The sequence below is a fragment of the Homo sapiens genome, chromosome X (assembly GCF_000001405.40).
Source record: "Homo sapiens chromosome X, GRCh38.p14 Primary Assembly".
Taxonomy (NCBI): Eukaryota; Metazoa; Chordata; class Mammalia; order Primates; family Hominidae; genus Homo; species Homo sapiens.
In genome coordinates this window covers 153,511,084-153,523,383 of record NC_000023.11, presented here as the reverse complement: position 1 = coordinate 153,523,383, position 12,300 = coordinate 153,511,084, and the positions used below count along the sequence as shown (strand labels likewise).

Below are 12,300 nucleotides of genomic sequence, written 5' to 3'. Positions count from 1 at the left end.
TGGGTTTCCAAAAATAGCCAAATAATTAAGCGAATTACAATCTCTTGGGAGAATATTATTCAGCCATTAAAAATTGTAATTACTGAAGGCCGCCTGATACATCCCGGGTGCTTGGTAAATAACTGTTGAATGATCAAATTTCTTCTTTGCATGGTTCAAGATCATTCTTTCTTTTTGCAATAAGCACTTACTGCTTTTATAATCTTAAAAAATTAAACTATAACCATTTTGAAAAAAACCATTCATTTAGGAAGGGATTATATTAATAAAGAAAATGCTTATGTGAAGTAAAAAACAGATTACACAATTGAGCCCATGGTATAATGACAGCAATGTGAAATGAATCAAATGGAGATGTTGGATTTACATTTGCATGATAGGATGGCTTTACTACATTTTCGACTTCTCTGTGTTTTATACGTTTCCTATAGAGAGCATATTAAGAGTATTGTTTTTAAATAGGAAGAAATCAATTAAAAAAAAAAAAACCCACGTCTCCTCCCTGCTGTTTCCTGAGCACAGGCAGTGCGCTGGGCATATGGTGGGGCCTAATAAGGACCAGGCGGTGGCCGGATCTGGTTTTTGCCCCATGCTGGGTGTGCTAGGACCACTGGAGTCAGCACGAGGCGAGGTCTGGGCATCCCCCACAGCACGGTGAGCTGCTGGGACAGAGGCCCTTTCCCTCCTCCCTGGTCTGTGTTTGTCTAGGTATCTGCGCAGCCCCTGGAGAGTACATGCTTGGCCACTGCCTTCCAAGGAGGCATGGGGCAGTGGGCTTGGTGGGGGGTGTCTAGGTCCGTGTGAGGACTCGGGTCTCCATTTGCTCCAAAGCAGCTCTGTGTGACAGTACATCCCGGAGTCTCTGCACTGTCCCATATGGTAGCCACCAGCCATGTGTGGCTACCTGAGGAGGCGGGGTCAGGGCAGGATGGGCGGGGACTCAGGTTGTGGACCCGAGCCCTGGGAGATACCGGCTGGCCTCGTGGCCTCAGTCCATCCTCCCGGCCCCAGCCAGGTTTGCACTCTTACTTTGGTGAACACTGAGCAAAGCACAAAGGCTCCAGGAGGGCAGGAAGGGCATTGCGTTTGCTTTTTGCTTTCCGTCGTCTCCCCTGAAGCAAACACAGAGCCTGGCACACAGTGAACCAGGGCAGTGTCCCTCATGCCCATCACATCAATAAGATGTGGCCCCCTGGCATAGCTGGCGCCATTCTGACAATAGAATGCACTCATCCATTCTGAGGAACGACCCGTTCAAGCCCAGCCTGGCACTTTCTGTCCCTACCTGTTAAGCTCTCAGACTGGAGCCTGTCCCACCACAGAACACCTCTTCAAATTTCTGTGAGCAGTCAGCCCTCTTTGGGGCTTCTCTTCAGGATGGTTCTCTGGGGGAGCCCAAGCTGCTGCATTAGTGGCCTTGTGCCACCAGGGAGTGGGTGTGGGAGGTGGCTTCAGGGTCCGTGTGAGGACTTGGGTTTCCATTTCCTGTAGAGCAGCTCTGTGTGACAGAGCATTCGGGAGTGATGGAAATGTTCTCTCTCTGCACTGTCTGTGACGGTAGCCACCAGCCTTGGGTGGCTCCTGAGCCCTTGAAATGTGGCTGGTGCACCTGAGGAAGTGCATTCTAATAAAATCGCTGCTTGGACAGTGCAGCTGGAGAAAGTGCCTTGAGCCTGTGGCCTCAGGGGAGAACTTCTCACTGGAATAAAATGGTTGCTCGCTTACTGAGAGACCCACCTACAGAACAAGAGAGGCTGGCTCAGGACCCCTTTAAATAAGGTGCTCTTCAAGGACACGGACATACTCGCTTTGTACAACTTTGATTTGGAACCAAGACTCCGGAAACCTCCTCGTGCTCTAAAAGAGTCCTGCCAGTCCCAAGATTCCCCAACCATTGGCATTTCCACCCTTGCCTTGTTGCTCTGATTCAAGTCCTGCCACCTACTCAGCCATGTGACCTTGGACTTGTCTCCTTCCCAACCTTGGGCAGTCCAGGATGCCCGAATTCCCCTGCATTTGAGAGCCTGCTTCCCTCTGCCCCAGTGACGCGTGGCTCTGATCCTTCTCCGCAGGCTCCCAGGCCCACTGCCAGCACCGCCCACCCAACAGAAGGAGCCCAGGCAGGGGAGGGCTTTCCAGCCAGGCGCTGCTTGGCCTGGCTTCTGCCAGCTTAGCCAGGGTGGGGAAGGGAGGAGCCCTGTGCATGCTCCAGGTCTCTGCCTGGCATACCCAGCCCGGGGCGTTGCTGGGGAGCTTGCTGCAAAGTCACAGCAAGAGGCTTAGAGGGAAGTGTTTGCCTTCAGTACCATGGCACAGGTCCCCATCTATCAGCTGCCATTTACGTGCACTGCCAGTGCTTCCGGGTGCCCTGAAGGGGCCATGAATGCAGAGCTAAACCGGTCCCTGAGTTGCTGGAGACTGATATAAATCCACCTGTTGTCCATTTCTCTCAGTGGGTAGACGGGGCAGAGGTGCAGGTGGCTCAGCTTCTGAGCTGCAAGGTCTTCCCAAGAATCCCCGGCTTCAGCCCACAAGGCTGGGAGTACCCGAGACAGTGAGTTCACACGAACCACACTCTACTCTGCTGACTTCCGCACACACTTCTGGAGATACAGGAACTAATGGCTACAAGCACAGACCAGACTCCGGAGCCTGATGGACTACATTCCAGCCCTGGATTTGCTACCTACTGGCTGTGTGACCTTGGGCAAGTTACCTAGCCTCTCTGGGCCTCAGCCGCAATGCAAAATGGGGATAACAGCACTTGCAATCATTTGTTGTTGTTTCAATTAAGTGGGCAAGGAAATGTCTGTGCAGCACTCAGTGTCTGACATAAAGTGACTGCCATTATAACTATTATCATTGTTGACATTACTTGATGTGCTACTGACCACTGATGGAGACAGTGGCCATTGGTGAAATACACAAGCCATCAGTTTAAAATCAGAGGGGAGTTCATATGTGCTGATGACTTGCTCTGTGAGGTGGGGGAGGAGGTGAAAAGGCCAGAAGAAGCTCTGCCTGGCTCTGCTGGCTGCAAGAGGCCCAGAGGGTACTCAGCTCTCAGAAGCCCCTGGGGCTCTGGGGCGCCCTCATCCTGTCTACCGGGCAGGCAAGGCGCCCCTTTCCACAAGACATTCTCAGAGGGTCCTCCACGGCTGACCCCGGCACTCCGTGGCTGCATCCCTGGGCTGGGAGCAGACGTTCTGGGATGGAGAGCACTCACTGACTCACAGGCTTGGCTTCTCCTGCTAGTGAATGATTCAACCTCTGAAGCTCCAGCTCCCCCAGGCCCACCCCCACCCTCCCTGGATCTGGAATGGAGAAGGGACTTGGCCAAGGTCACAAAGACCATCAGGTAAGGGGCTGCTGTCACTGAAGCCCCAGGCACCCTCACGAGCCTCCTCTGGCCCCTTCCTTGCCCCTCGGGGGCCGATTGGGGCATCTCCATCACCTGGCATTGTGGCTGTCCCCTGGCATGCTCTTTGCCTTAGGGGCTTCCTTCCTCAGGGACCGGCTCTCCTTCTGGCCCTGTGCAAGGCCCCCTCCCACGCCCGCCCCACTTCCATCTGCCCGTTACCCCCTGCTGTGTGAGAGCATGCCTACTCCTGCACTCAAACCACCTGGCCGTGCAGGGCACGGCCCAGGTGGAGCTGATGGAGACTGGCTGTGTCCTTGGCTGTCCCCCGCCTCGGGGCCTGCAGCAGTGACAATCAATGGCCGGGGACCACAAGTTCCCAGCCCGTTCCGATGGCGCAGACTTGAGGGGCTGACCTCACCCTGGGACCCTCTGCTGGGTCTCAGCTGTGTCCCACAGGGGCCCAGGCATCCCCAGCCCTCTCCTCGGCATCCCAGTGCCCCTTTAATGAGCCACATGGCTTCGGTTTCCTCATCTGTGAAAAGTGGCGGCGGGGGGTGGGGGTTGGGGATGAAAACAGCCATTCACTCGTGTGGTTGAGGTGAGACTCAGATGGAGCTCAGGAAGTGGGGCTGGTCTTTGATTATTACGATAACCTCTCCCCGCCTCCCTGCCCCACCAGGTTCATAGGAATGTCCCTAGCCATCTGCTCATGAAGGAAGGGGCCTCAATTCAGGGCTGAATCCCTTCTCCTCTTGGGGGCCTCAATGATCCCATCTGAAAAATGGGGACAAAAATCCAGGCCTTGCCTCTCCTGTTCAGTGAGTCTGCAGATTCAGTGAGGTCAAGGTCATGAATATGCCATGCAGAAACCAGGTGCCCACTCTGTGCCAGGCCTGTGCAAATGAAGAGCCAGTCCTTGCCTTAAGATGGTCACTGACTAGTGAGGGGCAATGGCAGGGGGTGAGGGCACAGATCCTAGTGGGCAAAGGAGGGGAGGAGGTGCAGGGGGTGCCTGCCAGACTGGTGCCCAAGTCAGCCAGGGGAAGTCGGCTGACGTTTAGGGTGCCAGTGGAATTCAGGATGGGGGCCAGTTGGGGACAGGCTGGACTTGATCCTTTAGCAGGCAGGGACTCCTTTGAGGTCGGAGGCCCTGGGCTTCATCTTTGAAAGTTATATGACCTCGCCAGGAAATGGCAAGCATCTCGTTGAGGAATTCTGGTCCCTTCCCTGCCCCTTGAGTGAGCGAAGGAGCATTTCCACAGTCTCTCCTAAACCCTCATGGAGCCCTCACCGCGGGCTCTCCAAGACTCCCTCCAGTCCTGACCTGCCCCGGCGCCATGCCCCTGCCCTGCCTCCCACCCCTCCTCAGCCGGCTGGCTGAGCCACCAACCCCCAGAAGGGCCAGCAGAAGGAAGGACACCAGGTCACAGAGAGAGAAGCCCATCGTCTCAGGCTCTGGGAGATGCCGCACCTGCCATTCCAAATTCCAGAATCTTAAAGCCAGAGCTTTCACCCGTGAGAAAACGCAGGCGGCCACAGGAAAAGCTGGCTGGCCAAGGTCACACAGGCGAGGAGGGGGAGACAGCCGTTCCTGGAGGGATGGAGAAGTTACCTAAGTGCGGCCCCGGGCGGCTTCTCGTGGGCACTGCCCATGACCGCGGTGGGGTCTGCTGGGCAGCCGCGTGGGCGTGCGGGGAACGGTGCGGGAAGGCGAGAGGGGAAGGATGATACAGTGTGAGGGCGCGGGGGGGAGGGGGTGCCCGAGGCTCCGGGAAGGTGCGTGCGCACTGGCGGGCTCCCGGCCCAGATCCCGCGCCCCCGGCTGCGCCCACCCTGAGCCCCGGCCCGCAGCCCCCAAGGGCCTTGTTCCTCAGACACGGATGCGCGTGCGCGCGCGATGCGGGGCGCAGGGTGCAGGGTGCGGGGCGCTGCCCGCCGGCCTGGGGCCCCGGGGTGACGCGCGGCCGCAGTGCCGCAAGGACACGCAGGCCCGGCGCGGGGCTCAGGTGCCTCGGGCGGGGACCCGTGTCCCCCTACCTGCCGCCGCACCACCTGCCGGGTCATCCTCCCATCCCCACCCGCGCCTTGTGCCCGCGCCGCGCCCGCGCCCACCCCGGCGGCGCCCGCGCGCCCAGAGCACCACTTACCCGGGCATGGGCACGGCCGCCGCCGCGGCCTCGGCTCCGGCGGGCGCTGTCGCTGCGGGCGGGCGTCAGGCGGGCAACGATCCGCTCCAAGGATGGAAAGGCCTGGGCACGGGGCGGCCTGGCCGGCGGCGCGGGACGCGACCCTCTGCGGCGGGCGAGGGCTGCGGCCGAGTGCTCCCCACGCTCTGCACCGGCGGCGGGCGACGCGGCGCGCTCGGCTCCAACCGCAGCTCTGAGCGCGGAGGGAGGGAGGGGGGAGGGGAGGGAGCTGGGTGAGGAGGAGGGAGGGAGGAGGGAGCGGGCGCGGGGGGCGGTGCGCGGCGCAGGGGCCTCGGGGCTCAGGAGCTACGCGCCCGGTGCGCGCCCTTCTGTCCCCAGGACGCGCGAGGGTGCCCGCCCTTCCTGGCCTGGCATTGCCCCCAAAGGGCACTGGCCGAGTGGGGGTGGGTGGGGATGGAAACTGGGGGACCATGGCACCTGTGAGTGCAGAGAGAGCACCCTGAGCTTGCGACTGAGGCTGCCACTACCTCTCCAGACCCTGCCCTCTAGGTGCGTCTCCCCAACAGTAAAATGGGGCACAGAGCCGGGTGGCTGATGTGTAGCGTGGGGTCCTTGGGTCTTGCCTCAGTGGACTCCAAGGCATTGGTGGTCTCCTGCAAACTCCATTACCTGTTGAGAGTACGGGCGTCCAAATGCGTCTTCCCAGAGGAAGCGGCGCTTACCGGAGATCCTCACCGTCGGTTATCACGGGAACACCACCGTTAGGCAGAACACAGAGACTGCACACAGGTGGGCACCAGAGACAGACACGCAGGGGCACATACATCCCCGGTGTGAGTGGAGACAGACACACAGACAAACCCCAGTGCAGACACCTGTCCACACCCACAAGCACGCGTTCCCACCTACCTGGAAAGAGACCCCCGTGCCTGCCGGTGGACCCCCAGGCTTCCCAGCTCCAGGGGCTGTGGAGGCCTCTGACCCCAGGGCCGGCCTTTGCGAGCATTCTGAGCAGCGAGCAGAGAATGCTCGCTGGGGCACAGGTAGAGGCTCTGGGCGGGAGCCTGAGGCAGGTGCAAGAGGCCTGGACGCAGCCTCAAATTCTTTCTTGCCTTGGACAAAGAGGGCCCTGGACATGCTGTGTGCCAGACCAGAGCTGAATACTGGGGACACAGCAGGGACCACAAAGCAGGGAGTGGCCGTCGGATGGCAAATGTGCTCACGCCGCTGGGGTCGGAGCTATGGAACCCCATTGATGGGGAGCCATGAAAGAGGCTGCTGGCGGCTCAGGGAAGGCCTCTTTGAGGAGGCACCACTGTGCTAGGGACCAAAAGGACAGAAAGCTTCTGCTGCCCCTGAGACCAGGGAACCGTCACAACCCCCACAGACTGCCCCTCCCTTCCACAGGAAGCAGCTGGTGCCGTGGAAAGCTGAGGTTCGCGCACGCACGCACACACACACTCATACACCTGGTCATGTGTGCGCTCACACATGCTTACTCACACCCACTCACATGCACGCACACATACTCACACCTGCTCATATGCATGAACTCATGCTCACTCACCTACTTACACAAACACACACTCACACACTCATGCACACACTCACAATCTCACGCAGACACATCCTCACAGTCATATGTGCTCACTCACCCTCACCCACACAAGCTCGGTGGCCCACACAGTTACACAATGGTTCACACATATTTACATGCTCTCACACCTACACAACTCACACACTTACCCAGTGAGCACACACATGGGCACATACATACACACACACTCACACACAGTTACTCACAGTCACACTCACACACACACTCCCCACTCACACTCTCACACATATTCATTTGCACACTCCCGCAGTCCCCTTCCACTCCAACTCTGAGGCAGCTTTTCCTGAGCCTGGGGCGTGTGCTCCTCCGGGCCCAGAGCCGCCATGGGGACACCCCCTTCTCACACACACACAGCCTGTGACTTCCCATGGCCCCGAATGGGAAAAATCAAGACTGAAGCAAGCCCCAATGATGCTGGAAACTTATCATGAGCTAAGTTCTGGCCATTTCGCCAGAGCCCTGCCATCTTGGAGTCGTTCCTCTTACTAGCCCACATTCCAGATGGGGAAGTGGAGGCCCAGAGGGCACTGGATCCCACCCGGAGCAGGTTGTAAGCTGGACTTTGGCCCCTGGCCGGGAGGCCAGCTGCCCCCATGCCCTCAGGCACCACAGGAGGGCAGAGGAGCTCCTTTCCCCAGCGCATTCAGGCCACGTTCCTTCTTGGCCTCCCACACTGTGGCAGGCTCCCTGGGGTCATGTCCTTCCATCCCAGGCCCAAGGGCCCTGCTCTGGAGTGAGCAAAGGCAGAAGCAGGCTGCTGAGCTGGCCTCCTTTCGTGGCCCCCAGCAGGAGCATCCCTTGGGCAAGGGTTGGGTCCCGGCTGAAGACAAGCACCTCTTAGCAGACATGTGTGGGCAGCTCTGGGAGGGCAGGTGTGGGGCTGGGGAGACCCACACTTAAAGGCTTAGGAGTGGCTGTGAGAGCTGACAAGCAAAGAGAAGAGTCCCTTTGGGCTGCGTCACTGTCTTCCCTCGGGGACCAGGGAACATGCTGAGGGATGGAGGCTGTTCATTTAACTGATGGCTGCTATCCACATGGGGGAATCTCCCTGAGCTTGGAGCAGCTGCTGCCTGGGTTGCGTGTTTATGCATCTCCCCTCCCTATTCTCTGACCCCAGACTCTGCACAGGCCCTGTCTGGCCAGGGGGAAGAAGCAAGTTCAGGGGAGAAAATCTGAGGCAGGGGCTACCTGCCCCACCACTTTGCCTCCTCCCCCGGGCCCCCAGGGCACTGCTCATGGCTAATCCAGCCAAGAGTTGGCCATGGTGCCTACCTTTGTGATGAGTCCCACTGAGGCCAAGGTCAGATGGCCAAGGAACAAAGTGTCATGGAAGTCCCTAGTCCTCAGCAAATTGTGGCCCCTAAACAGCTAATGGCCAGGTAAGGGGATGGTCCTTTCTCCTTGGTTTGTGTCTGTTGGTTCCCAGCCCAGAGCCCTGAGGCTGAGAGGGAGGGCCCAGGCCTGGGAATGAGGACACCTGAGTGCCAGGCAAATGCTGCCAGTGTCACTGGTGATCCTTGCTCACCGGCCAGCCCCTCTTGGGTCCTCCATCAGTAAAGAGGTGGGAGCTTTGCTAGAAAGTTCTCCCATACACCAAGTCCTGTCCTCTGCACTGGGAGTACTTAGGGAGCCAAACCCAGGGAGGCCCAGACCACTCTGCTTCCCAGCTCCCTCCCAGGTCCCAAGCCAGCCTGTCCCACCATGCCCTGGACCTGCCTCCTTAGGGCACGCCAGGCCTCCGTCCCCACCCCACTCTCCCACATTGCCGACGACTGCCTGGGAAACAAAAGCCACAGAGAGCACCCTGCTCTCAGCGGCTGCCCACCGCCCCACCTGGCCGCCTCATCCCCACTCTCACCCCTCTCTCTCTCCACCTGCCTCCAGCCCCTTCAGTCCCGCTCCCCTCCCACAACTGCTTTCTCTCCTGGCTCCTTGGCCCCTACCCAGTCACCAGGTCCGTCCTCTCCCAGGCCTCTGGGCCATGCCCCCTCCTTGCCCAGGTTCCCTCCTGCCACTGTTGGGACAGCAGCTCCTTGGCCAGCTCTGAAGTGAGGACCCCTTTGGCTGGGCCTGGGGCCCCCATCCCGTCTTCTCATGCCCACTGTCTCCCTGGCTGAGGTCCCAGCCCCTTCCCCAAGGCCTCAGGGGCAAAGCCCGTGTCCACTTGCAGCCCAGGGGCAGGCTAAAAATGTCCCCACCGATGTGTCCATGTCCCAACCCCCGGAACCGGAATGCAGCCTTATTTGGAAATAGGGTCTTTGCAGATGCCATCAAGTGAAGAATCTTGAGATGTGGGTTATCCTGGGTTATCCCCCCCCGCCACACACACACATGCTCACACTCACATCCATGCACGGAGACACACACACACAGAAACACACACACACGCTCACACTCTCATCCATGCACAGACACACACACACAGAAACACACACACACGCTCACACTCACATCCATGCACAGAGACACACACATGCTCACACTCACATCCATGCACAGAGACACACACACACAGAAACACACACACGCTCACACATCCATGCACACACACACATGCTCACACTCACATCCATGCACGGAGACACACACACACAGAAACACACACACGCTCACACTCACATCCATGCACAGACACACACACAGAAACACACACACATGCCCACACTCACATCCATGCACAGAGACACACACAGAAACACACACATGCACACATACGCACACCCCCACATACACACACATCGTCACAGACACACATTCACATATGCACACAGTCATACACATGCACACACAAGACACACTCATACACACACAGAAACATATACACACACATTGCACACATACACATGCAGACACCCCACACATACACAGTCACCCACACATACATACACACGAACATGCTCATACACACCCACACACATATGCACACGCATACCCACACATACACTCACAGAAACACACACATACACACACATTGCACATATACACACACATGTACCCCCCCCCCCACAAGAAGCCATGTGATTGCAGAGGCAAAGTGGAGTGAGGTGGCCACAAGTCCAGGACGCCTGGAGCCTTCCGGGGCTGGGAGAGGCAGGAAGAAGCCTTCCCTAGAGCTTCTGGGGGGAGTGTGGCCCTGAGACACCTGGATTTGGACTTCTGGCCTCCAGGACTGGGAGAGGGTCCATGTCCTCTGTGGTGAGCCACCCGGTTTGTGGTTATCCATGACAGTGGCCTCGGGCCACTCATCCAAGCCCCAGCTGGGCCACCGAGGAGCTCCAGCTCGGCAGAGCCCTGTCCACAGCACAACTGAGGCTTCTTGGGCTGCTTGGCTTGAGTACATCCACGCCTGGTGGTTCTGGAAAGCTGGCTGGCGATGCAGAGTGTGTGTGTGTGAGTGTGTGGGGGTGTGAGTGTGAGTGTGTGAGTGGGTGTGAGTGAGTGGATGTGGGCATGAGTGTATGTGAGCACGTGTGTGGGTGTGTGAGAGTGTGTGTGAGTGGGAGTGAGTGTGTGTGAGAGAGTGGGTGTGTGTGGGGTGTGAGTGTGCATGAGAGCAAGTGAGTGTGAGAGTGTGTGAGTGTGAATATGTGAGTGTGAGTGTGTGAGTGAGTGTGAGTGTGATTGTGTGAGTGTGTGAGTGTGTGTGAGTGAGAGTATGAGTTTGAGTGTGTGTGAGTGTGAGCATGTGTGAGTGGGAGTGTGTGTGAGTGTGAGTGCGAGTGTGTGTTTGTGTGTGAGTATGTGAGTGTGAGAGTATGTCTGTGTGTGTGTGTGAGAGAGAGAGACAGAGATGGCTCTTTGGGCATGACTCCTGCCAGTGCAGCTCCAGCACAGTCCCCTGGGCACTCCTGCCTGGGCCCTGGCTGCCCCTGTGCAGCAGGCATCAGGGCCTTTCAGCACCCAGGCTGCCCAGGGTTCTCCAGGGCGCCAGAGAGGCTGTGCCCTCCCAGAAGCTGAGGGAGACAAGGTCTCTCTGCTGGCGATGGTGCCCTGCCCTGCCTGTTCAGAGTGGCAGGCAGGGTCTTGGCCTCTTCCTGTGGTCCCTGCCTCCTGAGACTAGAGCTGGAGCCTGTGGGAGCAGAGCCTGGAGACCAGGCCACTGCCAAGTCCTCAGGGCAGCCCCTCTGACTTGGCTCCCAGGCCTGCCACCTGCCCCTGCAGCCCTCCAAGGAGGGGTCGTGTCCCTCAGGGGTCCTGCCCGCATCGTGGGCCCAGCCTGCCAAGGTCTGGCTCGCTGCCCCTTTGACAAGCCCGGACTCGTCTAAACCGTAGCAGTGGATTCGGCTTAGGCTCCCGCTGGGCCCTGCTGTGCCCAGAAGGCACCTGACCTGCAGCAAATGCTGAGAAACGGCCCCACGGCGGCCCTGTGCCCTCCACAGCCACTCCCCGAGGAAGCGGCTTTGTGACCTGCATTGCTGTGTGTGTTTGTGTGCACATGTGTTTGTGCGGCATATGTTTGTTTCTGTGTGCTTGTGTTTGTGTGTTCAAGTGTGCATGTGTGCGTGTGTGTTTGTGTACGCATTTGTGTGCGTGTGCACGTGTGTTCGTGCATGTGTGTGTGTACGTGTGTAAGCCCACGCCTGCTGCCTTCCAGCAGCTCCGGAATGCTCCTGGCCGTCAGGTGGTGGTCCTCAGGGTCCCCTTCCCCTCTCCAGGCCACGGAGCATCACAACCAACCCCGTTCTCACACTACACCCAATCTGTCACCAAGTTCAGGGGACCCTACTCAAGCAAAGATCGGCTGGAACTTGCAGCCCAGCCGTTGTCCACCCTAGGCCTTCCTATGCCACAGCTGGGGCCCTGAGCACAGTCCTACTTTCGAAGCCACTTGCAAGTAAATGTGGGGGATTGGCAGCTTGCCGGGAGAACCTCCCCGGCACAAATGATCTTCCAACCTCAGCCTCCTGAGCAGCTGGGACCACTGGCGTGTGCCACAATGCCTAGCTAATTTTTTAGTTTTTTCTTTTTTAGAGATGGGGTCTCACTATGTTGCCTAGGCTGGTCTTGGACTCCTGGCCTCAAGCAATCTTCCTGCCTTGGCCTCCCAAAGTGCTGAGATGACAGCCGTGAGCCACCACGCCTAGCCATTTTCTTTTTTAAGCCCAAATCAGTCTCACCTTGGCTAGTATTAGCTAATAGTTTTTCCCACACTTGGCGGTAGAGTGAGGCTATGT

The 12,300-nt window shown here is 58.3% G+C and overlaps 1 protein-coding gene across 11 annotated transcripts in view; it reads right to left on the bottom strand.

Moving 5' to 3' along the window:
- Positions 1 to 5,742, bottom strand: part of ATP2B3 (ATPase plasma membrane Ca2+ transporting 3) — a 65,288-nt gene extending 59,546 nt beyond the window's left edge. For 8 of the 11 annotated variants that reach the window (NM_021949.4, XM_005274689.4, NM_001001344.3 and 5 more), the window contains exons 1-2: positions 5,509 to 5,742; positions 4,833 to 4,952 (exon numbers count right to left, since the gene is read on the bottom strand). The gene's annotated coding sequence lies outside the window, so the exon portion shown is untranslated. The remainder of the gene's footprint in view (positions 1 to 4,832; positions 4,953 to 5,508) is intronic. The other 3 variants (NM_001388360.1, NM_001388361.1, XM_047442141.1) reach the window with 1 other exon arrangement.